The sequence below is a fragment of the Homo sapiens genome, chromosome 15 (genome assembly GCF_000001405.40).
Source record: "Homo sapiens chromosome 15, GRCh38.p14 Primary Assembly".
Taxonomy (NCBI): domain Eukaryota; kingdom Metazoa; phylum Chordata; class Mammalia; order Primates; family Hominidae; genus Homo; species Homo sapiens.
Window position 1 is genome coordinate 64,217,094 of NC_000015.10, and position 25,580 is coordinate 64,242,673.

Here is a 25,580-nt window from a genome sequence, read left to right on the forward strand (position 1 = left end):
TGTTACATTATCTGGTTCATGAGCACTCTCTATGCTTACTGCCATAGCCACATGGGCTATTTGGAACTGTTGCCCTATGGACAACTCAGACTGAAGAGGCAAGGTCACAGAGCGTGCAGCCTGGCCCCAGGCCAGCACAACTGGCCCTCTTTTCACAGGGAGTCTCTATAGTTTTTTGTTTTTTATCAGCTGGAGAAAAGTCAACAGACACTTAGTGTTTGGTTGCTGATAAGTGCTGATGAAAGGAAAAGGGGGAAAAAACACAAGGCTGGGTTTTCCCCAGATTTGAAATTCATAACTATTAAGAAGCCAAAATCCAGACTTTCTCACCTAAGTGGCAAATTGTGAATGAATTTCCTTTATAAAGTGCATTGTAAATATGAGGCATTCACTAAATATATAACTGGTACCATGAGAATAGTAGATATTAAATAGGATTACAGACGCCAGGCGCAGTGGCTCATGCCTGTAAGTCCAGCACTTTGGGAGGCTGAGGTGAGTGGATCACAAGGTCAAGAGTTTGAGACCAGCCTGGCCAACATGGTGAAACTGTCTCTACTGAAAATACAAAAATTAGCTGGGCATGGTGGCACGCACCTATAGTCCCAGCTACTCAGGAGGCTGAGACAGGAGAATCGTTTGAACTCAGGAGGCGGAGGTTGCAGTGAGCTGAGATGGCGCCACTGCACTCCAGCCTGGGTGACAGAGCGAGACTCCATCTCAAAAAAAAAAAAAAAAGATTATAGAACACTTAAAAAATTATCTGGTTTCACAGAGCAGAAACATTCCCATCTTATATATTTATGTATATAGTGGTCTACAGTTGCATATGTTGTAGATTATTGTTTGCTTCTGCCTCTAAGTGTTTTAACTTGAGACAAGGTCTCAGTGTTACCCAGGCTGGAGTGCAGTGGTAAGATCTCGGCTCGCAATCTCTGCCTCCCGGACTAACGCGATCTTCCCAGCTCAGCCTCCCAAGTAGCAGCTGGGACTGTAGGCTCGCTCTACCACACCAGACTAAATTTTTGATTTTTTATAGAGATGGGGTCTCACTATGTTACTCAGGCTGGTCCTGAACAACTCCCAAGCTCAAGCAATCCTCCCTCCTTGGCCTCCCAAAGTGCTGGGAATACAGGCATGAGCTACTGTGTCCAGCCCCATTCCCTTTTTATTTCTATGGGTGGGATATAGACAGATGTACATCTAACACATACTTCTCTCGAGGGTAGGTCTCACATATTTGGAATTAATAACTATTTCATATATTGTATTAGTCTATCTTGATTCATTAAATCCTAAACAACTTTTTTTTTTTTTTAGACAGAGTCTCATTCTGTCACCCAGGCTGGAGTATAGTGGCGCAATCTTGGCCCACTGTAACCTCCGCCTCCTGGGTTCAAGCAATTCTTGCGCCTCAGCCTCCCAAGTAGCTGAGATTACAGGCATGGTGTCCACCAATTTTTTTTTGCATTTTTTGGAGAGACAGGGTTTTGCCATGTTGGCCAGGCTGCTCTCGAACTCCCGACTTCAAGTGATCCATCCACCTCAGCCTCCCAAAATGCTGGGATTACAGGCGAGAGCTACCATGCCCGGCCTAAATCCTAAACAACTTGAACATTTTCTTTAAATATGTTTATTCCTAGCTTGTATCCTCTAACATATGTTACTCCTGCTAGTTCAATAAATATCTGTTCAATTGTTTTTGTTGTTGTCTTGATTCTCCCTATCTCCAAAAGAGAAAAGGATTTAATTTGAAGTGTTTTTTTTTTTTTTTTTTTTTACATGGAGTTTCACTCTGTAGCCCAGGCTGGAGTGCACTGGCGCCATCTCGACTCACTGCAACCTCCGCCTCCCGAGTTCAAGCCATTCTCCTGCCTCAGCCTCCTGAGTAGCTGGGATTACAGGTGCACACCACCACGCCCAGCTAATTTTTGTATTTTTAGTAGAGACAGCGTTCCCCCATGTTGGCCAGGCTGGCCTCAAACTCCTGACCTCAGGTGATCCGCCCGCCTCAGCCTCCCGAAGTGCTGGGATTACAGGCGTGAGCCACCACACCAGGCCCCAAAGAGTCTTTTTTTCCCGGTTGTTTTGAAGAAGTCATTTTTCAGCTTTTTAAAAATATATAAAACCCAACTAGTTGTTTCCAATGACTCCTGCTGAGACATCCAAAGCAGAACACTCTGTCCTAGAGATTTACTGCTTTTATTAATCAGACACATGGTAAATGCAGTTTGGGGATCTTTTAAATTTATGTCCTATATAAGGATTTAATGCCACTAAAATGTTATTTTCCTAATATAAATATTATATTCTTCAAAGCAGGTTGTGGCAGCGCCTGTTGTTTGCATGCCCAATATCCATTCTCCCTCTCCTTTTTTCTTTTGAGACAGTGTCTCACTGTGTCACCCAGGCTGGAGGGCAGTGGTATGACCATGGCTCACTGCAGCCTCGACCTCCTGGGACCAAGCAATCCTCCTGCCTCAGCCTCCCAAACAGCTGGGAGCACAGGCACATGACACCACATCGGGCTAGTTTCTTAAATTTTTTCCAGAGATGAGCTCCCACTATGTTGTCCAGGCTGGTCTTGAATTTCTGGGCTCAACTGATCCTCCTGCTTTGACCTCCCAAGTGCTAAGATTACAGGGATGCCTCTCCCCTTCTTTTTTTCTTTTTCTTTTCTTTTCTTTTTTTTTTTTTTTGAGACAGAGTCTCGCTCTGTTGCCAGGCTGGAGTGCAGTGGCACGATCTCAGCTCAATGCAACCTCCACCTCCTGAGTTCAAGTGATTCTCGTGCCTCGGCCTCCCAAGTAGCTGGGATTACAGGCACGTACCACCACACCTAGCTAATTTTTAAATTTTTAGTAGAGATGGGATTTCGCCATGTTGGCCAGGATAGTCTCGATCTCCTGACCTCGTGATCTGCCTGCCTTGGCCTCTCAAAGTGCTGGCATTACAGGTGTGAGCCACCACGCCCAGCCTCCCCTTCTTTTAAAATAACATAACTTTTTTTTTTTTTTTTGAGACAGAGTCTTGCTCTGTTGCTCAGGCCGGAATGCAGTGGCGTGGTCTCAGCTCACTGCAACCTCCGCCTCTTGGGTTCAAGCCATTGTCCTGCCTCAGCCTCCTGAGTAGCTGAGATTACAGGCACCTGCCACCATGCCTGGATAATTTTTGTATTTTTAGTAAAGACGAAGCTTCATCTTGCTGGTCAGGCTGGTCTTGAACTCCTGACCTCAAGTGATCCACCCAACTCAGCCTCCCAAAGTGCTGGTATTATAGGCATGAGCCACCATGCCTGGCCCAGAACTTCTAATTGTTGCAAATAGCAACTTGCCCAGTTATAACTCCAGTCTCCCTTGACAATTAGGAAAGACCAATGAGATGGAAGCAGAAATGAGTGTATAACTCTTTTTTTTTTTTTTATTCAGAGTCTTGCTCTGCTGCCCAGGCTGGAGTGCAGTTGCATGATCTTAGATCAGTGCAACCTCCGCCTCCTGGGTTCAAGCTTTTCTCTTGCCTCAGCCTCCTGAGTAGCTGGGACTACAGACTCAGCTAATTTTGTTTTTAGTTTTACTCTTGCCTCAGCCTCCTGAGTAGCTGGGACTACAGACTATGGCTAATTTTTTTTTTGTTTGTTTTTGGTAGAGATGAGATTTCACCATGTTGGCCAGGCTGGTCTCAAACTCCTGGCCTCAAGTGATCTGCCTGCCTTGGCCTCCCAAAGTGCTGGGATTACAGGCATGAGCCTCCGTGCCTGGCCACTGAGTGTATAATTCTAAAAAAATTCTTTCAAGAGAGATGGCTAGAATGAAAGGTCCAGAAGCCATCTAGAATCACCAGACATCTTGACGATGTAAAGTAGTGCCAAGAATAGATGGAGCAAAAAACAGAACCTAAGTCCCTGATGGCTGTGGAGTAACCATGCTAATGTTGGACTTTTCTTCTCTCTGGATTTTTTTTATCAAAAAGAAAAATCAATCTCCACCTTGACTGAGCTACTTGTATTTGGATTTTTAAAAAGCAGCCAACTCTAATCCTAATTAATAAACATATTACTCCATTCGTTGGTTAAATTGCAAATCTGGGCATAATATCCTCTTTCTAAAGTACAAGCTAAAAGTCAGGCTTGCTTAGAAATATAATATTGGCATAATTTCCTACACTTGTTGCCAATACTTAAGGTTCAGTTTAAATGAGACAACTGATCTTGTTCTTAATAATCCTTAGTATCAAATCTAGATTATCTTTTGCCAGAAGTTTCCATGTTTACAATGAAGTCACAAAAGGATTTTGAGTAATATCTACAATTTCTAACTATAATGTCACCCATTACTCCTACCTAGGAACTTGGAAGAATTAAGAGTTCCTGCTCGCTGCATTATTGGTTTTATTAAGTACCCTGAGACCTCACAACACACTGGCAGGCTTTGGGATGCTCAAAGCAACTTCTAGACCACTGAGTGGTTTTGAAGCATTTCTAGGAGAGGGTCAAGGTCCGAGATACCAGTGTAGAAAAAGCTCAAGTCAGAGTCTTAGATCTAGTATTTGCTTCTGCTTTCAACTCTGGCACATTCCTTAGCCTCTCTGGGTTAGCTTATTCATCTGTAAAGAGGAGGGGGTTTACACAATGAGATACCATCTCACGCCAGTCAGAATGGTGATTATTAAAAAGTCAGGAAACAACAGATGCTGGAGAGGCTATGGAGAAATAGGAACACTTTTACACTGTTGGTAGGAATGTAAATTAGTTCAACCATTGTGGAAGACAGTATGGTGATTCCTTAAGGATATAGAACCAGAAATACCACTTGACCCAGCAATCCCATTACTGAGTATATACCCAAAGGAATATAAATCATTCTACTATAAAGACACATGCACATGTATGTTTACTGCAGCACTATTTACAATAGCAAAGACATGGAACCAACCCAAATGCCCATCAATGATAGACTGGATAAAGAAAATATGGTACATACACACCATGGAATACTATGCAGCCATAAAAAGGAACAAGATCATGTCCTTTGCAGGGACATGAATGAAGCTGGAAGCCATCATCCTCAGCAAACTAACACAGGAACAGAAAACCAAACACCACATGTTCTCACTCATAAGTGGGAGTTGAACATTGAGAACACATGGACACAGAGAGGGGAACAACACACACCAGGGCCTGTTGGTGGATGGGGGGTCGGGGGAGGGAACTTAGAAGACGGGTCAATAGGTGTAGCACACCACCATGGCACACATGTACCTACGTAACAAACCTGCACATTCTGCACATGTATCCCGTTTTTTTTCTCCTTAGAAGAAATAAAGAAATAACAACAACAACACCACCAAAAAAAAAAAAAAAAAAAAAAGAGGAGGGGGTTTAGACTGGTTCCTTTCAAAATCCAAATTCTTATGGCCAGGATTTCCTTCTAGCTACCTTCTGGGTTCCTCTTTGTAAAGCCACAGAACTATGAATGAAACTCACCTCCATATTTTATGAAATAACGTGTGGCACCAATTCAAATATAAGCTGGTAGTGAAACTCAACTGGAAGTGTATCTATCAGAAATATCTTTAAAACTTAAAAAAAAAAAAAAACCCAAAATGAGATGCAGTGACTTCACCTCCTACCTACTGAGTCAGAATTTCTAGGAGTGGAAGCAAACATTGCTCCACAAGTGATTCTGATGTGTAACCTCAGCTGAAAAACACTATATCTAGAGAGTAGAAATAAAGGGTTTTGCTTTGTTTTATGATTAATATAAGGATTCAGAATACAGTGACAGGTCTCTTTCAGAAGTTATTTCAGATCAAAACAACTGGACTCAATACCTTTTGAAGGAAAGAATTTTAAGGCAAGTTAAAAAGATTTCTCTGTTTAAAGTTTCTTAGTTATTTTCTTACAGAAAATATACCTTTGAGCATAAAAGTTTCTTTGGGAGATGTAGCTGTAATTTATTAGAACTATCTGTACAGAAAGCTCCCCATGCAAGTTCTACTCTGAGCCTGGTTTTTCGCAGGAGTGCCCATAAAGTGGTCTGTGCTGGTGGTAAAAGACACAAACACAAGCACACTAAGAAAGTCTGTCTCTTTGGTCAGAGATTACCACACAGTAACGGCTTATCAGCTGGGCTGCATTTAAATGAAAAAAAAAATCCTGTATATTTCATTCTTCTTTTGCAGAGCCATCTCTAATCCACTGCTTAAGAAATTTTAAATTAATCAACATTATGCTATGAAATCCTTTAATGAGGCTGGGGAGAAGGGCAGATCCTTAAGTGCAACATAAGGTACACATGCGGTAAACAGGTACTTTCTATAAATAATTATGAGGGAATGGAAAGGAAGTGGGAGACTCAGGCAAGGAAGATATGTGCTGGATTCTTTGATCAATGGTATATTGGAAACTAAGGTATTAATAGTTTTATAATCTCTCATCTGCTCTGGAAATAATGTGCTAATGAGGTCTCCCCTTCCTAAATTGGTAAACTGCATAGAAACCTGGAAACTAAAGAAGTGACTACTGAATTTTACTTTTCTGAAGGATTTCCAATAGATTTCATTATATTTCCTTTAACTACAGGTTAAATCTCTTATAAACCAAACTGCAAGGTTACATATACAGTACATATGTTATCTTGTATATTTTTCTTAGTACTATGAAAGAGCCTTTCCATCATCAATAACATGATGTTATAAACCCTGCCAGACATATGGCTCACACGTACATCAAGCTGCACAGAATAGGCAATGAATGTAGAACACTAGAGCTAATTTTCAGTCTGTATGAAGTTTAACTTGAGTCAAATACACCAATTCAAGGAAAATGGCTTCTTTTATCATCCAAGCTGTTATCTAAAAACAATCTACAACACATTATGAACCCTAACTACTCTAAGTAGAGATATTTTAAAATGCACATCAGGTTGAGAACTGAAATAGAACCACCTCAAAGGTTTTGGTAATTTGATCCTATTATTGCCTAATAATTAGTCTTTCATTCTTTTTTAAAAACTAAATTACCTAACTATGAAGGACAACAACCTTGGCAAGCCCATTCTTTTGCTTTGTTTATATAGTTTATTTTTTAATGTTTAAAGAAAATAGAATAATTTTTCTCCCAAATTAAATTAATTCTCTTCTCAGCCCCATCAATAGTAATAGTTTCTAGCACAACTACTAAATGCTCTGTAATGTTTCTGAGGGATCAGGCAATTATTATTATAATACATGGGCAATTATCATTAAAGAAAATAATATTAAACATGTACCCTTAGCAAGAAATCAGAAATAGGCAGATAAATGAGATGTTATTCCATTGTAAGTAACGAAAGGGAAAAATGGAAGCATAGCCTTTAAAACTCTGAGAATAAACCCATGAAACAATGCATTATTACAAAGATATGAGATAATACGTAGTATATCTTTTTTAAAAAAGAACAAACAATCCCTCTCATGTCTCTGACTCTGAAAAATGTCTCTTTGCAACATGAACCAGTTAAACATATGAATTTACTCAAAATGCTGGTTTAATAACAAAAACAGCTAGGCCCAGAATTAAGAAAACAGGATTACTTTGTCTGTCCTGTAATGAAAAATGTTTTACAATCATCTTGTTTAAAGGCCTCCTGGGAACTGGAATACTGCCAAACATAGGCTGCTAACACGAGCTCAAATTTGTATGGTGGGGGAAGAGGCAGTGAGGAAAGGCAAAAGAAGAGGAATAATTTCACATTTCCGAGCCACAGACATTGAGCTTTAACAGTGTCTCTATTACATACACATAATTATGAATGCCTTGAGCCTTAAAGCAGGCTTAACATTTTATTTACCCAAAAGGAGTCAGAAAAGAAAGCCCAAGACAGGACAGAGGACAGATTTCTTCTATAGTAGATAGAATCCAAAATACACTTTTCTTTTTTTTTTTTTTTTTTTGGAGACAGAGTCTTGCTCTGTTGCCCAGGCTGGAGTACAGTGGTGCAATTTTGGGTCACTGCAACCTCTACCTCCTGGGTTCAAGCGATTATCTTGCCTCAGCCACCCGAGTGGCTGGGATTACAGGCATGCACCACCATGCCTGGCTAATTTTTGCATTTTTAGTAGAGCTGGGGTTTCACCATGTTAGCCAGGCTGGTCTCAAACTCCTGGCCTCAAGTGGTCCACCTGCCTCTGAGGCAGGAGAATAGGGTCTGGAAACAGTAAACCTAAGGCCAACCTATGGCTGCCTTCTTGGAATTGGACTAAGAGGAAAACCCCACCTGTCCACAACCAAGTCATAACAGGCCAAAGGCCCATCCCTCTCCGAACCTCCCCTCCCCTATGTCAGGAATGGGAATGTCTGGTTTTGGTCCATTCTGGGACCTTCATCTGCATATATGCCATAGGTGAGATGCCTCTGATTGGTCCTGGGCAGAATCTTGATTCTGACTGGTCCTGGACAGAATCCTGCCTCTGATTGGCCTAGGGCAGAATCCTTCATTTACATAGGGCATAACCTATCAGAAGCCCCTAAAGGTACTTAGATGTGTTACCATGATCTTTTGTTGTTGTTGTTGAACAGAGTTTCACTCGTGTCGCCCAGGCTGGAGTGCAATGGCGTGATCTCGGCTCACTGCAACCTCTGCCTCCCAAGTTCAACTGATTCTCCTGCCTCAGCCTCCCAAGTAACTGGGATTACGGGTGCCTGTCACCACATCCAGCTGATTTTTATATTTTTAGTAGAGTCGGGGTTTCGCTATGTTGGCCAGGCTGATCTTGAACTCCTGACCTCAGGTGATCCACCTGCCTCGGCCTCCCGAAGTGCTGGGATTACAGGCGTGAGACACTGCTCCCGGCTTACCATATTCTTTTAATTCAATAAAAACCCCAAGGAACATTACAATCAGGGCTCTTGAGCCACCCGCTCAAGCCCGCTCCCACTCTGTGGAGTGTACTTTCACTTCAACAAATCTATGCCTTCGTCTTCCATTGCTTTGTGCGTTTTGTTCAATTCTTTGCTCAAGGCACCAAGAACTTGGACAACTCACAGTCAAGACTTTCCATCTGGTAACACCTTGGCCACCCAAAGTGCTGGGCACGTAAGCCACTGTGCCTGGCCCAAAATAAAAACAGGTAAAAGTGTGTTGTGTATTGGAGGTGGGTAGGGGCAGAGGAGTAAAGTCCTTTCCCTTTCCAAAAAGACTAACTCGGCTGGGTGTGGTGGCTCACGCCTGTAATCCCAGCACTTTGGGAGGCCAAGGTGTATGGATCACGAGGTCAGGAGATCAAGACCATCTTGGTCAACATGGAGAAACCCCGTCTCTACTAAAATACAAAAAATTAGCTGGGCGTGGTGGTGCACGCCTGTAGTCCCAGACTAGGGAGGCTGAGGCAGGGGAATCGCTTGAACCCAAGAGGTGGAGGCTGCAGTGAGCCAAGATCGCAACACTGTACTCCAGCCCAGTGACAGAGCAAGATTCCGTCTCAAAACAAACAAACAAACAAACAAACAAACCAAAAAAAAAAAAGGAGACTAACTCAGCTCAGCTCAGTTACTAACAGACTAACTTTACTCAGATGGTAAATTCATGAGATTAAAAAATCCAGTATTTGACATTTTTCCACCTTCCTTAGTACTGTAGTTCCTGTGATTTAAGATAAAAAGATGGATTATCTACTGAATTTCAAAATCTGCCTCAAAACCTAAGAAAATACACCTGATTCTTCTTAAAATCCACCTGAACAATTAACAACTAAAAAGTCAAGAAGGTTCTAGCAAGCAGCTAGAAGGAATGAAAAGGAAAAAATGAGGTTACCCAAAGTACAGTGATCCCCTTCCTGACAATCGTGCCCCAGTCCCATTACACTTTCTTTATCCATGTGTCTGTCTTCCCTACTAACAGAAGGCTATTTGAAGACAGCAACTACTGTGTGTTAATTTTTTGTATGTCAGCACCTAGCACTGGTCCAAGCATATGGTAGATATGGTTAAAATAAGTACTAAGTAAATTAATAACTACAACTCAGTGCGATGGCACTTGAGTTTTCCATTTGGAATGCCTAATGCTTTCCTCAAAATGCTGAAATACACACAATACATACAGAGCAAAGCAAATTCAGTGGATTTAAAATGTGCACGAATACTAACACAATTGATTTTTCTGAGTTCTTGCTTACATTTCATGGGAATACTTTTAAAAGACAGTTCTGCTGGGCAAGCCACAAGTATGAATACTCCAAGTAAATTCAGAGTTGCAATATTTCTACATTGACTTCTGTGTATTTTAAATCTTCCATGATGATTGTAAATGATATCTACAGTTTATCTTGCTGTTCCCATATGTAGGTAAACAACTATGCAGAATTACTTATTTCAGTTAACAGCACTGAAAACTACACACAAACAAATGTCTTCTCCTCTCTCAAAACAGCACCTGCCCATCCAAACAGATTAAATGACCAAAAAAATGAGACATCTAAATCATCTAATATGAAAGGAAGTCCAGTAACTTCTTCCTACCCTTATCTTCTCCCTCTCAATTTATAAACAAATTCTTTATTTTGGTCCCATTTAACTTGGAAATACACGGTCTTTTCTTCACCTAAGTAGTCTTTTCCTACCACACTTGAATCTCATGGTCATCCTGTAAGGAAAAACAGGGGAAGTACTAAAGACCCCATTTTACAGATGAAATAAAAACCCTGAGAAATATTGTGTGAAATCTCCTAGGTTCCCAAATAATACAACCAAATCTCTCAATTCCAGATTCACTGTTCTCTTCTCTACACTAAGCTGCCTACATTCTCTTACTCTCAATGTTCTTTTTCATCTGTGTTGTTGCCAAAATTATTCTCCATGCTCCCCAACCCAACTCTTCCAAACCCTATGTCCTGCCCTTTTGGTTAACATTTTCTTTTTCCACCAATTCTTTATCACCTTTCCAGTACATAAATCCCCCACTATGCTCCACAGGCAGCTTGATTTGTCCTACTCACCCTTTTGGCTTCCCTTATTTTTAATTTTTAAGAAATTTTCTTGCCCTCTCCCCCATTATTTTAAAATCAGCTCCACAAACACTATCTTTTCACCTTTCCTGTCCACCTCTCTGTGGTTCTCAAGCCTTGTCAATTCCAGTCCCTGGTCTTGAACAGGAACCACCTGGGGCATTACTTTTTTAAATTATAAAAGTGATAAACAGACAGATATAGCATGGATATCTATATTACCCATTTTTAGACAACCAAACATAACAGCAAACCAAAAGCAGTAAAAAGCATATAAAGAAAAGGTATTCACACCCGGGCACGGTGGCTCACGCCTGTAATCCCAGCACTGTGAGAGGCCGAGGCAGGTGGATCACGAGGTCAGGAGCTCCAGACCATCCTGGTGAAACCCCGTCTCACTAAAATACAAAGAATTAGCTGGGCGTGGTGGCGCACGCCTGTATTCCCAGCTACTGGGGAGGCTGAGGCAGGGGAATCACTTGAACCCCAGAGGCGGAGGTTGCAGTGAGCCAAGATCATGCCACTGTACTCCAGCCTGGCAACACAGCAAGACTCCGTCTCAAAAAAAGAAAAGAAAAAGAAAAAGTATTCACAACCACAAAGGCACATGATTAAGAACAGTGTACTGCAACTTCATTTTTAATTTAATACTATAGCATGGGCCAGACATGGTGGCTCACGCCCATAATCCGAACAGTCTGGGAGGCCAAGGCAGGTGGATTGCTTGTGCTCAGAAGTTCAACACCAGCCTGGGCAACATGGTGAAACCCCTGTCTCTACCACAACTACAAAAAATTAGCCAGGTGTGGTGGTGTGTGTTTGTGGTCCCAGCTACTTGGGAGGCTGAGACAAGAGGATCACTTGAGCTTCAGAGGCAGCAGTTGGCAGTAAGCTGAGATCATACCGCTGTACACCAGCCTGGGCGACAGAGTGAGACTCTGTCTCAAAAAAAAAAAAAAAAAAAAGAAAAAGAAAAATACTACAGAGTGGATATTTTTTCTTATCAACATATAGACCTACCTTATTCATTTTAATAGCTACATATTAATAGTAGTATAATAGTATTCCACCATGTAACATATCTGTTTAACTTTCCCCCTACTGATGGGCATTCATGCTGTTTCCATGTGTTAATTAGAAATATATATTATAGTGAACACCTATTGCTTTTGCCTGGTCTGCATCCTTTTGTTCCTTCTGATAACACCACCTTATTCTTACAGTGGAAAGTACCATTTCCCCAGTGTTACTTCATGTGGTTAAAGTGGGGGCAACCCATCTCCCACTGACATCCCGAGGATGCCACAAGCCCAATTACTCAGAATACTCTATCTGCCTGCCTGGGAAAACTGGCTCAGGAATGGGTGCCATGTCTCTCATGTAACAAGAGTCAACTCTAGGACTTTTGTGGAACTATAGAGAAGGAGGAGTATTCTCTCTCTTTCTCTCTCTCTTTCTCTCTCTCTCTCTCTCTCTCTCCCTGATCGCTAAACTGAAAGCAGCTCAGCCTGGAGTTGCCAGGGACCACCACATGGAGAAAGCCTATTTGAGAATGAAGCTAATGCAGAGAAAGAAGAGGTGAGAAAAAAAGAGAGGCAAATGTATCACATACCTATGGACCAAGGACATTATTAGTCCTGTATCTGGATGGCTTGAAGTGAGAATGCTTTTGACTTCTCAGTTCTGTGAGCCAAGAAATTCTCCTCTCCCTCTCTCAAGTGAGCTTGAACTGGGATTCTACTCTTGGCAAATAAAAGCATCTAGACAAATAGGCATGCAATACTACAAAAAAAAATCCTTAAGCCTATATTTTTGGGCATGTTTGTAAATTTTTTTTTTTTTTTTTTTTTTTTTTTTTTTTTTTTTAAGACAGAATCTCACTCTGTCGCCCAGGCTGGAGGGCAGTGGCGCGACCTCGGCTCACTGTAACTTCCACCTCCCGGGTTCAAGGGATTCTCCTGTCTCAGCCTCTGGAGTAGCTGGGATTACAAGCATGCGCCACCGTGCCCGGCTAATTTTTATATTTTTAGTAGAGACAGGGTTTTACCATGTTGGCCAGGCAGATCACCTGACGCGCTGGGCCTCCCAAAGTGCTTGGATTATAGGCGTGAGCCACCATGCCCTGCCCGGTAAACATATCTTGAATGTTAATTCCTTAAACAGGAAATGCTGAGTCAAATGCTTGCATAGTTAATATTTTAGTATATAGTGCCAAATTGCCAGTTTTGGTTTTTTTTTTTTAAGTCAGGGTCTCACTCTATCACCCAGGCTATAGTGCAGTGGCACAAACCATGGCTCACTGCAGCCTTGACTTCCCAGGCTCAAGCAATATTCCCACCTCAGCCTCCCGAGTGGCTGGGACTTACAGACGTGTGACACCACGCCTGGCTAATTTTTAATTTTTTGTTGAGACAGGGTCCCACTAGGTTGCCCAGGTTGGTCCTGAAGTCCTGGGCTCGAGCAGTTCTCCCACCTCATCCTTCCCAAACTGCCAGAGTTCTAAATCTTCTTTGGTCCCTATTCTGACTCTAGGCTTGGGCCTATTTTCAACATTTAGCACGACAGTCCCCATTACTTGAGTACTCAGGTCTGTGAGGGTATTTAAAAATAAAATGGCAGCCGGGTGCAGTGGCTCACGCCTGTAATCCCACCACTTTGGGAGGCCAAGGTGGGTGGATCACTAGGTCAGAAGATTGAGACCATCCTGGCTAACACGGTGAAACCCCGTCTCTACTAAAAAATACAAAAAAATTAGCCAGGCGTGGTGGTGGGTGACTGTAGTCCCAACTACTCAGGAGGCTGAGGCAGGAGAATGGCATGAACCCAGGAGGCAGAGGTTGCAGTGAGCCGAGATTGTGCCACTGCACTCCAGCCTGGGTGACAGAGCGAGAATCCGTCTCAAAAAAATAAATAAATAAATAATAAAATAAAATAAAATTGCAGGTTATATTCCTTTTAGAACATTAATTAAGCCTGGGCATGGTGGCTCACACCTGTAATCTCAGCACTTTGGGAGGCTGAGGCAGGAGGATTGCTTGAGGCCAAAAGTTCGAGACTAGCCTGGGCAACATAGGGAGACCCCATGTTTACAAAAAATAAAAAAATTAGTTGAGCGTGTGATGTATGCCTGTGGTCCCAGCTACTCAGGAAGCTGGGGTAGGAGAATCTCTTGAGCCCAGGAGGTTGAGGCTGCAGTGAGCTGTGATGACACCACTGCACTTCAGCCTAGGTGACAGAGCAAAACCTCATCTCCAAATATATATATATTATATATATATTTATATTTTATATTTATATAAACATATATATATTTGGAGATGAGGTCTTGCTCATATATGTATATGTATATATATATTAGGATATATATATATATACACACACACATATACATATATATATTAGGTGCTGTGCCTATCTTGTTCACTACTGTATCCCTAAGACTTAGCTTAGAATAGTACTTAACCCAAGTGGGATGCTCAAGAATATCTCTTTAATAAATGCATGAACAGAGACATAGCAGCCTCTGGGACTTGGTTTATTTTTTGTACTTGGAAAGCTTTCCTTACTCTTCCATTTTTATATGTTCAAATAAATCATAGTCGTTTTTTAAAGCTCAGCCCCATACATGCCACTCTCTCTATAAAACCTTTTCTCTTTCTCAAAATTAGAAACCATTTTTTCTTTCAGAACTTCCTCATTTTATATGCATTTTAAAAATATATATAACATTCTACTGTTTTAGCTTGTGTTACAGTTACTTACCATTATTGTCCTACCATTAACCTCACTGTCCTAACATGAACATACTGTAAGCTCAGTAAATATTACATTTTCCTTCCAATGACACTCTAGTGTACTGAAGGGCAGAGATCATCTTATTTATAATTCTTTGGCCCTCAAATTACCCAGCATAGTGGTAGCTATAAACACAGTGATGTGTAGTGTTTTGTTAGTGAAAACTTCATCTCCTTGCATTATCACTAATGTAGAAGAGATTACCTACAGGCTGGCTTTAAGGCAATATGAAGTATAAAGAAAAGAAAATGCAGAAAAATGTTAAAAGTGTGTTAGACTGCTGAAAGCACAAGAATGCAGAATCGTGCAGATCTGACAAACTCTTCTTTTAATGGATGGAATATAAATTACTTTTGTAGAAAGAAAATGACAATATAATTGTCACAAATGTTAAAAATTGATCTTTTTATTGGTTTTTGTTCCAAGCACACTTACAAATAACTTATATTCTCAAATAGAAAAGGGCTTAGCTAGCAGCTAGATTACTATTATGATAGTAGGCACAAGGAGTTATCTATCTTTAAATAGTTTGTTACTGGAACTTAAGGAAATGTTTTCTTACCAATGACACTGACAGATACTGGAAAGGAACTAGTTAAGTTTTAATATAATACAGTAGATACATAATTCTGCCTTCTCATAATCATAGGAATAATTCTCTTCAATGACTCACCTTCTTCATTCCATAGTACTCCACAGCTTTGGGAATGCTAAATGTTACCTCCCTTCTAAATGATTAACCTTGACATACTATGAGCTAGGAAGAAGAGTGACTAAGGGCTGTGGTCAGTCCTTTGAGGGTCACTGAGCTTACTTCTAGTCCTTATTTTAGACTGAGACTTCCCTTGTCTTTGACCTCCTTAAACAAGCATTCTCTAACGGCAGCCACTAAAAGCTCTACTCAATGCCAGAGAAATGGCTGTGAGAATACGGATGGAAGAGAAACATACAGGTATACAGTAAGAGAAATACGAGTAAAGACCAAAAAAAGGTCAAAATATGACATAGAATTAAAGGGAGAAAATAGCACCAGAACCTTCAGGGTCTGTGTCTATTTCCAAGCAAGCTCCCACTGACAGGTTTTGGTGATCCACCTTTTTGAAACCTCTGCCTGCATAAGCACTATATTGATTTCCTATAACTAATCACAACTCTTCAGTCCAGTTCACTTATATGTAAGTTACATGGGTGTATTTCTAGAACCTTACCTTCTATTTTTCATGAAGCCCTTTAAAAGAAAACAAAATCTAAGTAGCAAATTCTACCTTCACACTGAGCAAATAACCTCAAGCAGTTCTGCACTTTGCAAAATGATGCGCTGAAAAGGTGTCAGTACTTTGTGTTACTGTGGGATGTATGAAGGCCAAACAATTTTTATAATAAACTCACAACAGTCTATTTGCAATTAAGGAAATTACTGGTCCAAAATGTGTAAAATAGAAATGTTTTTCTTTTGCAGGAGGGAAAAGGACAGATTCTCTCTCTCTCTCTTTCTCTCTTTTTTTTACATTTTCCTTTCCCCAGTGCAAAATTCTCTAAAATTTTATAAATGTAATTAAAGGCAATTACTCTATGTGGCTCAGGTGATTTAGAGCTATTTGAGAATTTAAAGAGGCAGGGAAGGACCACAGGAGGTCTGGCCCTAAAAGATAAGCAAGTCTCTTACAGCATTATATATGAATATCTCTTGCTTATATTTCATCACGCAGTAGGGTACACTGTTAGCCACAGTATCAGAAATGTCCTAAAACTTTACGGAAATTACAAAGGACACACAACTGGAAAATTCGTCCTGGTCCAGAAGTCGGGCCTCAGAAATATCAGGATTTTGTTTTTGTTTTTTGCAAACTAGTATAGCTAAAGGCTGAGGTCCTGATATTTCACCCTTGGAAGAAGAGATGGAAATTCATAGTATCACTATTTAAGCTCCATTTAAGACTAGAAATTATTAGTACTGAGTATGTGAATTATACCTTTCCAAGTCCAATAAATGAAACAACTCTTCCTATTTTTTTCTTCACAAAATTAAGCATTTGCCACACACTGGACTTAAGCTACAACATCAATGGAAACATTTAAATATCCTTTTAAAATGTTTCCTGACAATGCAGGTAGATTTGAAATCTCTCTCTCCCTCCCGCTTCCTCTCTCAAATGAAAAGATGACCACACCACACTTTTCCTCATCTGACATTTGTTCCATAAGATAGAGCTGGTTTTCATATACTGATCAGGTTCTTGCTACTAACTCACCAAATCAGGCACACTTTTATATTTAAGTTCTGCTCCCTAAGAGGAACAACTGTGACATTAGTGCTGCTCAGATATTTTCAAACACCCCCCTCACCCTTTACCCAGTGAACGGGATTGCAACTTTTTGTTTTTAACATGAGGCTGTTAAAATAAATATAAAATATTATAAAAAATAAAATATAAAATAAAATTAGGTTGCTGTTGCCCTAATATTTACTTATTTCAAATAGGCCACTCACACAGGAGCAGGTCCTGAGAGCATAAAAGTTAGGCAGATGTTGCTTTAAACCTCAACTCATCATTCCAGACCCCCTCAAAGTATGAGATGAGCTACCTCACTTAACAGAGGCTCAAAGCAGGTTTTTCTCCAAAATGATTATTTTCCCACAAGAGGTGGTGAGTACAATACATTGTGAAAGGTGTAGTTCTGTTTCTGGGGGTACTCACTGCCCTATGCCAGGACCACACACTAGCTCTCAGTTTCTACTCCCTACTTTAACAATCTCAAGATGTTAAAATGTCTCAAGGCAAAATGGCTTGCTATTTAGCAAGTGTTACTAGAAGAGAAAGAAAAGCATGGTCTGTAAGCTCTCCATTTCCTTGTTATATTGTCATTTTTTTTCTCCCAGCTCTTAAACCTCATTCTTAGAGAATCTGCTCTCTCTTGAGTGGTGGGCCCATGTGGTTCTGTACCCACAAGTAAGCTACCTGGACCAGGATTGAAAAGCTGACCCAAGATGGGTCAGCCAATCTTCTTCTTAGGAATGTGCAGTTGTGACATAAGGGCTCTACTCAATCTCTGCTAGGGCTTAAATTGAGGAGAAGGGCTATGCAGGAGGCCTTTTCCCACAAAATACAAGAAGCAGAGAAGGCTGGTAATGTAGACAAAATGATACTGGTAGACGCAAGCTGAGGCAAGAGATTTTACAGCCCTAAGCAGGAGGAGGGTCAAAAAAAGTGTCAGAGACAAGAAGAGTTGAAAAGAAAGCCAGGGACCAAGAGTAGTTGTCTTGGTTCCTAGGAATTATCCAAGTGTTTTGTTCTAATCCCTAGATAGGCCTGTATATTTCCTATCTTGGTTTCATGACATATCCTGCTGGTCTTCCAGTAAATCTTCCTTTTGAGTTTAAGCTAATTTAAATAGATGCTGTTATTTGCAATCAAAACAGTGTTGACTAAGAACATATATAGCTGCTCTACCTCCTCTTAAACCAACATTTTTTATTGGCTTGTTTCACACAATAGATAACTGGAAAAGCACCCAAACATGAGATGACAAAATGTTTGATGGCAATTTAACACATGTATCAGTAAAATGAAATTTCAGCCCCAAAGTGGGTGTCTGAGAAATCATGGCAAACCAGAGTGATGCCTCAGTATTTCCAAAGACACTGAAAACGAAAAAAACCTCATTGGGCTTTATAAATCAACAAAATATATGTAGCTTAAATCTGTTCCGTATAAATATAGCAGAAGCAGAAAGAGTCTAAAAGTCTAAAAACCCACAAAAAGTTTTTGGGTAAAGGAAAGGGGGTTCTGGATTATCTTCCCCGCAAGGTAGAAGTTAAACTCCTGAGTGGATAGTAACTTAAGGACTGTGTTAATGAGAACATATTTGGCAATGATTGTGCAACTCCGAGGTGACTGAGAAAGATTCAAACACTGAACTCATTTGTATTGTATATATTTATTTTCTGTATTTCAAACATTTCTTAAATACTTACTATGTACAAGATACTACACTAGACGGTTAAGGGAAGAAAGAGAAAAAAGATAAATAAGGTACAGACTCTATCCATAGGGAACATAACAGGTAGAAAACTGTTAGGTAAACAGCTAACATGGTCCTGGAAATATGTAACGTCAACAAAATTAGCCTGGGTGTGGTGGCACATGCCTGTAATAACAACTACTCGGGAGGCTGAGGCAGGAGAATCGCTTGAACCTGGGAGGCAGAGATGGCAGTGAGCTGAGATTGTGCCACCACACCCCAGCCTGGGCGACAGAGTGAGACTCCATCTCAAAAAAAAAAAAAAAAAAAGAAAAGAAAAGAAAAGAAAATAGTGAGGAAAAGTTGAGCTAAACTTTTTCTCACTTCAATTCATGGCTATCTCCACTTATTCACACTATCTAGAATTGGAGATGACAATGTCTAAATCTTCAGTCCTCAAAATGTAATTGCAAGGCTATCCATTCATACTTTTGCACAGCAAAAGAAATAATCAACAGGGAGAGGAGATAACCTGTTGAATGGGAGAAAATAACTGCAACTATTCATCTGACAGGGGACTAATAACCAGAATATACAAGGAACTCAAACAACAAAACCCACCGCAAATAATCCAATTTAAAAGTGGGAAAAGAACATTAATAGACATTTTTCAAAAGAAGACACACATGGCCAAGAGGTTATTAAAAAATGTTCAACATTAGTACTCATTAAAGAAATGCAAATCAAAACCACAATGGCATATCATCTTACTGCAGTCAGAACGGCTACTATTAAATTAAGAAAATAACAGATGTTAGCAAGGATGCAGAGAAAGGGAACTCTTTTACACTGTTGGTGGGAATGTAAATTAGTACAGTCTCTATGGAAGACAATATGGAGATTTCCCAAAGAACTAAAAATAGAACTACTATTGGATCTAGCAATCCCAGTACTGGGTATCTACTCAAAGGAAAAGAAATCAATATATCAAAAAGATATCTGTACTCATGTATTTTTCACAGGACTATGCACAACAGCAAAGATATGGAATTAACCTAAGTGTCCATCAATGGATGAATCAATAAAGAAAATGTGGTATACATACATAATAGAGTAATATTTAGCCACAAAAAGTGTGAGATCCTGTCATTTGCAGCAACAAGTATGGAACCTAAGTTAAAACAAACCAGGCACAGAAAGACAAATACTGTATGATATCATTCATAAGTGCTAAAAAATAGGTTTACATGAATGTTGAGAGTGGAATTATAGAGAATAGAAATTTGGAATGGTGAGGGAGTGGGAGGGGGAAGGAAGATGAGAAATTGGTTGGTAGGTACACAATGTATGTTATTTGGGTGATGAATACCCTACAAACCCTGACTTGACCACTATGCAATCTATGTATATAACAAAATTGCACAGGTATCCTCAAAATTTGTACAAATGAAACAGGAAGACAAAATAACTTTTCCCTGAATTTAGGAGTATAGGTAATACCTCTGGCAGAGAGACCTGAAAAATTTATACATGGCAAGAAAAGATCCAAATTTTACTTTCTTTTACCAGGTTCACTATTTCATCCTTTCTTCCCAGGTTATGTAAATTTTCTACCCAAATGAAGATCAAAAGGTTTCTTCTAAGTTCCCTAAGCACTCCTAGAGGACAACTAAGTTCAGGCATGTTCTTTGTTCACAACTACCTGTGTTAAAAGAGTCCTCTTTAAGTAAAATTCCCATTTTTTCTAGTATATCTTCAGAAGTTTGTATTCTTGAATTCTTGTATTCTGTTTCCTGTGTTGCTCAGCTTATTTATAATGTACTCCTAAGGATGTTCACAACATTATAAAAGGGTCTTATCAATATTACACTTTCTTATGACTTCTTCAGATCTATAGTTAATTGCTCTATTGAAACAGAACCATGCTCCTGTTAATTTACAGTTGCCTAGATTCAAAGCTCTTTTGTGGTACCAACCAGCACTGCTTATCTTTTATGAGGGCATATAAAACCATTCCCTCCAAGCGACTTCGAAATTGCAAAGCCTGATAACCTCTATTAACACTTACTTTATTCACACCACAAAGGTTTCAGTGGGTGAAACAGTTTGAATACAGGAGCACTAAGCTTCTCAGTTGTATACATGGCACATGCATTCAACATCAATGATTGATTTACTGTGGGAAAAAAATTTCAAAACCTAAAAAACTCAAGGCCATAAAAGGTTTTGGAAGTAACGAAGGCAGCCTTCTGAGTCACAAAATTAGGGGGCATCATGTGAAACAGGAAATCTTGCTCTTTCACTGGGGGAAATTTCCAATCTTTGCCCCAGTTAAAAGCTTTTATGACTGTCTTCTGCCACTGTTTTAAAATTAGGTAAGGGATAATGTGTGGATGGCTCTAGGAATCTGCTGGGTTTATAGGTATATACGCACATAAAAAAAATCTGTACAAAAACATGCAGCCTGGGCAACAAAGCAAGATCCCATCTCTATAAAAAATAAAAAATTAGCCAGGCATGGTAGTGTGCACCTGTATTCCCAGCTACTCTACTTGGGAGGCTGAAGTGAGAGGATCTCTTGAGCCCAGGAGTTTGAGGCTGCAGTAAGCTATGATCACGCCACTACACTCCAGCCTGGGTGACAGAGCAAGACCCTGTCCCTTAAAAAAAAAAAAAAAAAAAAAAAAATATATATATATATATATATATATATGAAAAAAAACCCACATTCCTAGTGCAGGTTTGCTTACTGTGTGACTTTAGGTAAGTTACTGAAGTTCCTGTGCTCAAAAATGGGAAAAAAAGAAACAACCACATAAAGTGCCTATTAGACTGAGCCCTACTGACTTGGGCTCCTGAATTACAGCTATGGCGTGTATTCTGAATTCAAACCTCCAGAGCACCCATTTTTTCCCTGGAGTTGGGCCAGGGCTGTGCCATGCCCCCCCAGGGATAGAGATTCACAGCTGGAACCCAACCCCCTGGATCTGGGCTGCTAAAGGTACCTCAAGACCCTGAGCCTAGGATCCTAGTCTCACGGCTGCTTGTAGGCTATGTCAGATACCAAGAGTCTCCCCATTGTGGGGAAAATGAGAACAGGAGGACCCAAAAGTCTTTTCCAACAAGGATATTAACAACCTTCTGCCATCACTACCAAAAAACTCTATACCCTAGGCCACTAAGGCATCCACATTTATTCCTGATGTTTAATGTAGCCAAAGAAGTTGCACAGAGGCTGTATCACTAAACCTACCTGCACACAGATTCATCACACTCTTCCCAACCGGCACACTAAGACCCAACTGCAGGTGAAAGTCTTTGTCTATCAAAGCCACTCTAGAAAGTTTAAGAGAGTCAACAGTTCCATTAGATGCACAAACATCAACACAGTGGTACAGAAACATGAAAAAGCAAGAAAATATGACACCACCAAAGAAGCATAACTCTTTAGTAATAGACCCCAATGAAAAGAAATTTTAAAACTGCTGGAAAAGGAACTCCAAATAATGATCTTTTGTTGTTGTTGTTGTATGTTTTTTTTCTTTGTTTTTGTTTTTGTTTTGAGACAGGATCTCACTCTGTCACTCAGGCTGGAGTGCAGTGGCACAAACATGGCTCACTGCAACCTCAACTTCCTGGGCTCAAGCAATCCTCCTGCCTCAGCCCCACAAGTAGCTGGGACTATAGGTGCGTACCACCACACCTGGCTAATTATTTTTGTCTTTTTCATAGAGATGGGGTCTTGCTATGTTCCCTAGGCTGATCTCAAACTCCTGAGCTCCATCGATCCACTTGCCTTGGCCTCCAAAAGTGATGGGATTACAGGTGTAAGTCACCCATGCCTGACCTAAAATAATAATCTTAAGGAAACTTAATGAGATACCAGAAAATACAGACAAGTAAGTCAACAAAACCAGACAAATAATTCATGATATAAACTAGAAATTCAACTAAGAGATAGATATAGAAAAGAACCAAACAGATTTCCCACAGATGAAGAATTCAATGAATTAAATAAAAAGTACAACAGAAATTCAACAGCAGACGTAAGCAGAAGAAAGTCTCTGAGCTTGATGAGAGGTCATTTGAAACTACTCAGTTAACAGAACAAAACAAAATAAGGCGGGAGCAATGTTTCATGCCTGTAATCCTAGCACTCTGGGAGGCTGAGGCGGGTGGATCACTTGAGGTCAGGAGTTCAAGACCAGCCTGGCTAACATGGTAAAACCTTGTCTCTACTAAACATACAAAAATTAGCCAGGCATAGTGGTGTATGCCTGTAATCCCAGCTACGCGGGAGGCTGAGGCAGGAGAATAGCTGGAACCCCGGAGGCAGAGACTGCAGTGAGCTAAGATTGTGCCACTGCACCCCAACCTGGGTGACAGAGTAAGACTCCGTCTCAACAAACTAAACAAAACAAAACAAAAATAATGAAAAAGAGTGAAGAAAGCTTACAAGACTTATGGGACACCATTAAGTGAACAAACATGCATATTATATGATTTCTAGAAGAAGAGATGAAAAAAGGCATAGAAAACCTATTTAATGAAATAACAACTGAAAATTTTTCATGTCTAAGGAGAGATATGAACATCCAGGTCCAGGGAGCTCAAAGGTTCCCAAATATATTTAACCCAAAAAGGTCCACTTTATATTACAGTCCTAAATTGTGAAAAGTCAAACACAAAGAGAGTACTCTAAAAACAGCAAGAAAAAAGAGTCAAGAAAATTATAAGGGAGTAACAGCAGATTTCTCAGTGGAAACCTTACAGGCCAGGAGAGAATGAAATGATATGTGCAAAGTAATGGAAAGAAAAAAAAAACTCTCAGCCAAAAATACTACATATAGCAAAGCTATCCTTCAGAAATGAGAGAGCAATAAAGTCTTTCCCAGACAAGCAAAAACTGAAGGAATCTGTCACTACTAGACTGGACTTACAAGAAATGCTCAAGAGAATCCTGCATCTGGAGGTCAAAAGATGATAATTACCATCATAAAAATACGTAAATCTATAAAACTCACTGATAAAGCAGATACACAAAGGAGAAAGAGAAAAAGAAAAAGAATCAAACCGTATCACTACAGAAAACCACCAAGTTGCGATGATTAACAGTAAGAGAGGAATAAAGAATATATAAAGCAACCAGAAAAAGATTAACAAAATGAGAGGAGTAATTCCTCACCTGTGAAAAATAGCCTTGAATATAAACCGATTATATTCTCCCACTTACAAGATGCAGACTGGATGAACTGATAAAAAACGATGACCCAACTATATACTGCCTACAAGAAACTCACTTCACCTATAAAGATATATACAGACTAAAAATGAAGGGATGGAAAAAGATATTCTACACAAATGGAAACCAAAAGCAAGGAGGAGTAGATATATCAAAAGATCTTAAGTCAAAGCTGTAAAAAGCAACAAAGAAGGTAATTATACAATGTTAAAGAGAACAATCCAGCAATAGGATATAACCAATTGTAAATATATGTGTGCTCAATGTCAGAGCACTCAGAAAGATAAAATATTATTGGATCTAATGGGAAAGATAGATTCCAGTACGATAATTGTTGGGGGCTTCAACATCCCATTGGATTTAAACATCACTTTAGACCAAATAGACCTAACAGACATTTACAAAACATTTCATCCAACAGCTTCAGAGTATATACTTTTCATCAGCATATGGAATATTATCCAGGACAGGCCATGTGTTAGGCCTCAAAACAAATTTCAAAAAATTTAAAATAAATGGTATAACAAATATCTTTTCTGACCATAAGGAAATAAAACCAGAGATCAATAACAAGAGGAACTTTAGAAACTGTATAAATACATGGAAATTCAACAACATGCTCCTGAATAACTATAGTGTCAATAAAGAAATCAAGATGGTGTACAGCAATAAACACATCAAAAAAGTAGAGATTTCAAATAAACAACCTAATGATGCATATCAAGAAACTAGAAAAGAAAAAAAAAACAAGTCTAAATTCAGTAGAAGGAGAGAAATAATAAAGAGCAGAAATCAACAAAATTAAGACCAAAAGTTGCAAAAGATCAATGAAACAAAAAGTTGTTTTTTTAAAAAAAAAGATAGACAAAACCAACAAACCATTAGCTAGACTAACCAAGAAAAAAATGAGAAGACTCAAATAAATAAAATCAGAAACGAAAAAGGAGACATTACAACTGATACCACAGAAATACAAAGAATCATTAGAGACTACTATGAACAACTATATGCTAACAAACTGAAAAACCTAATGGAAATGGATAAATTCCTGGACATATACCACCAACCAAAACTGAACCATGAAAAACACAACCTGAACTAATTATGAGTGATAAGACTGAAGCAGTAACTTATTCCATCAAAGGAAAGGCCAGAACCTGATGGCTTCTGATATAGTTCAAATATTTGTCCCTGCTCAAATTTCATGTGGAATTGTAATCTCCAATGCTGGAGGTGGGGCTTGGTGGGAGGTGTTTGAATCATGGCGGTGCTGTCTTCATGGTAAGTGACTTCTCATTAGATCTGGTCATTTTTTCCCCCACTTTCCCCCGACTCCCAGTCACTCTTCTTCCTACTTTTGTATTGTGATGTACCAGTCCCCACTTTGCCTTCTGCTATGACTGTAAGCTTTCTGAAGCCTCATCAGAAGCCAAGCAGATGCCTGGTGCCACACTTCCTGTGCAGCCTGCAGAACCATGAGCCAATTAAACCTCTTTTCTTTATAATTTATACAGTCTCAGGTATTTCCTCATAGCAATGCAAGAATGGCCTAATACGGCTTCACTACTGAATTCAACCAGATTTATATCAATAACTAATA

At 39.7% G+C, this 25,580-nt stretch overlaps 1 protein-coding gene across 4 annotated transcripts in view; it reads right to left on the minus strand.

Annotated features, from left to right (window-relative positions):
- CSNK1G1 (casein kinase 1 gamma 1) overlaps positions 1–25,580 on the minus strand; it is a 190,649-nt gene that overhangs the window by 51,569 nt on the left and 113,500 nt on the right. The gene's annotated exons all lie outside the window — the stretch shown is intronic.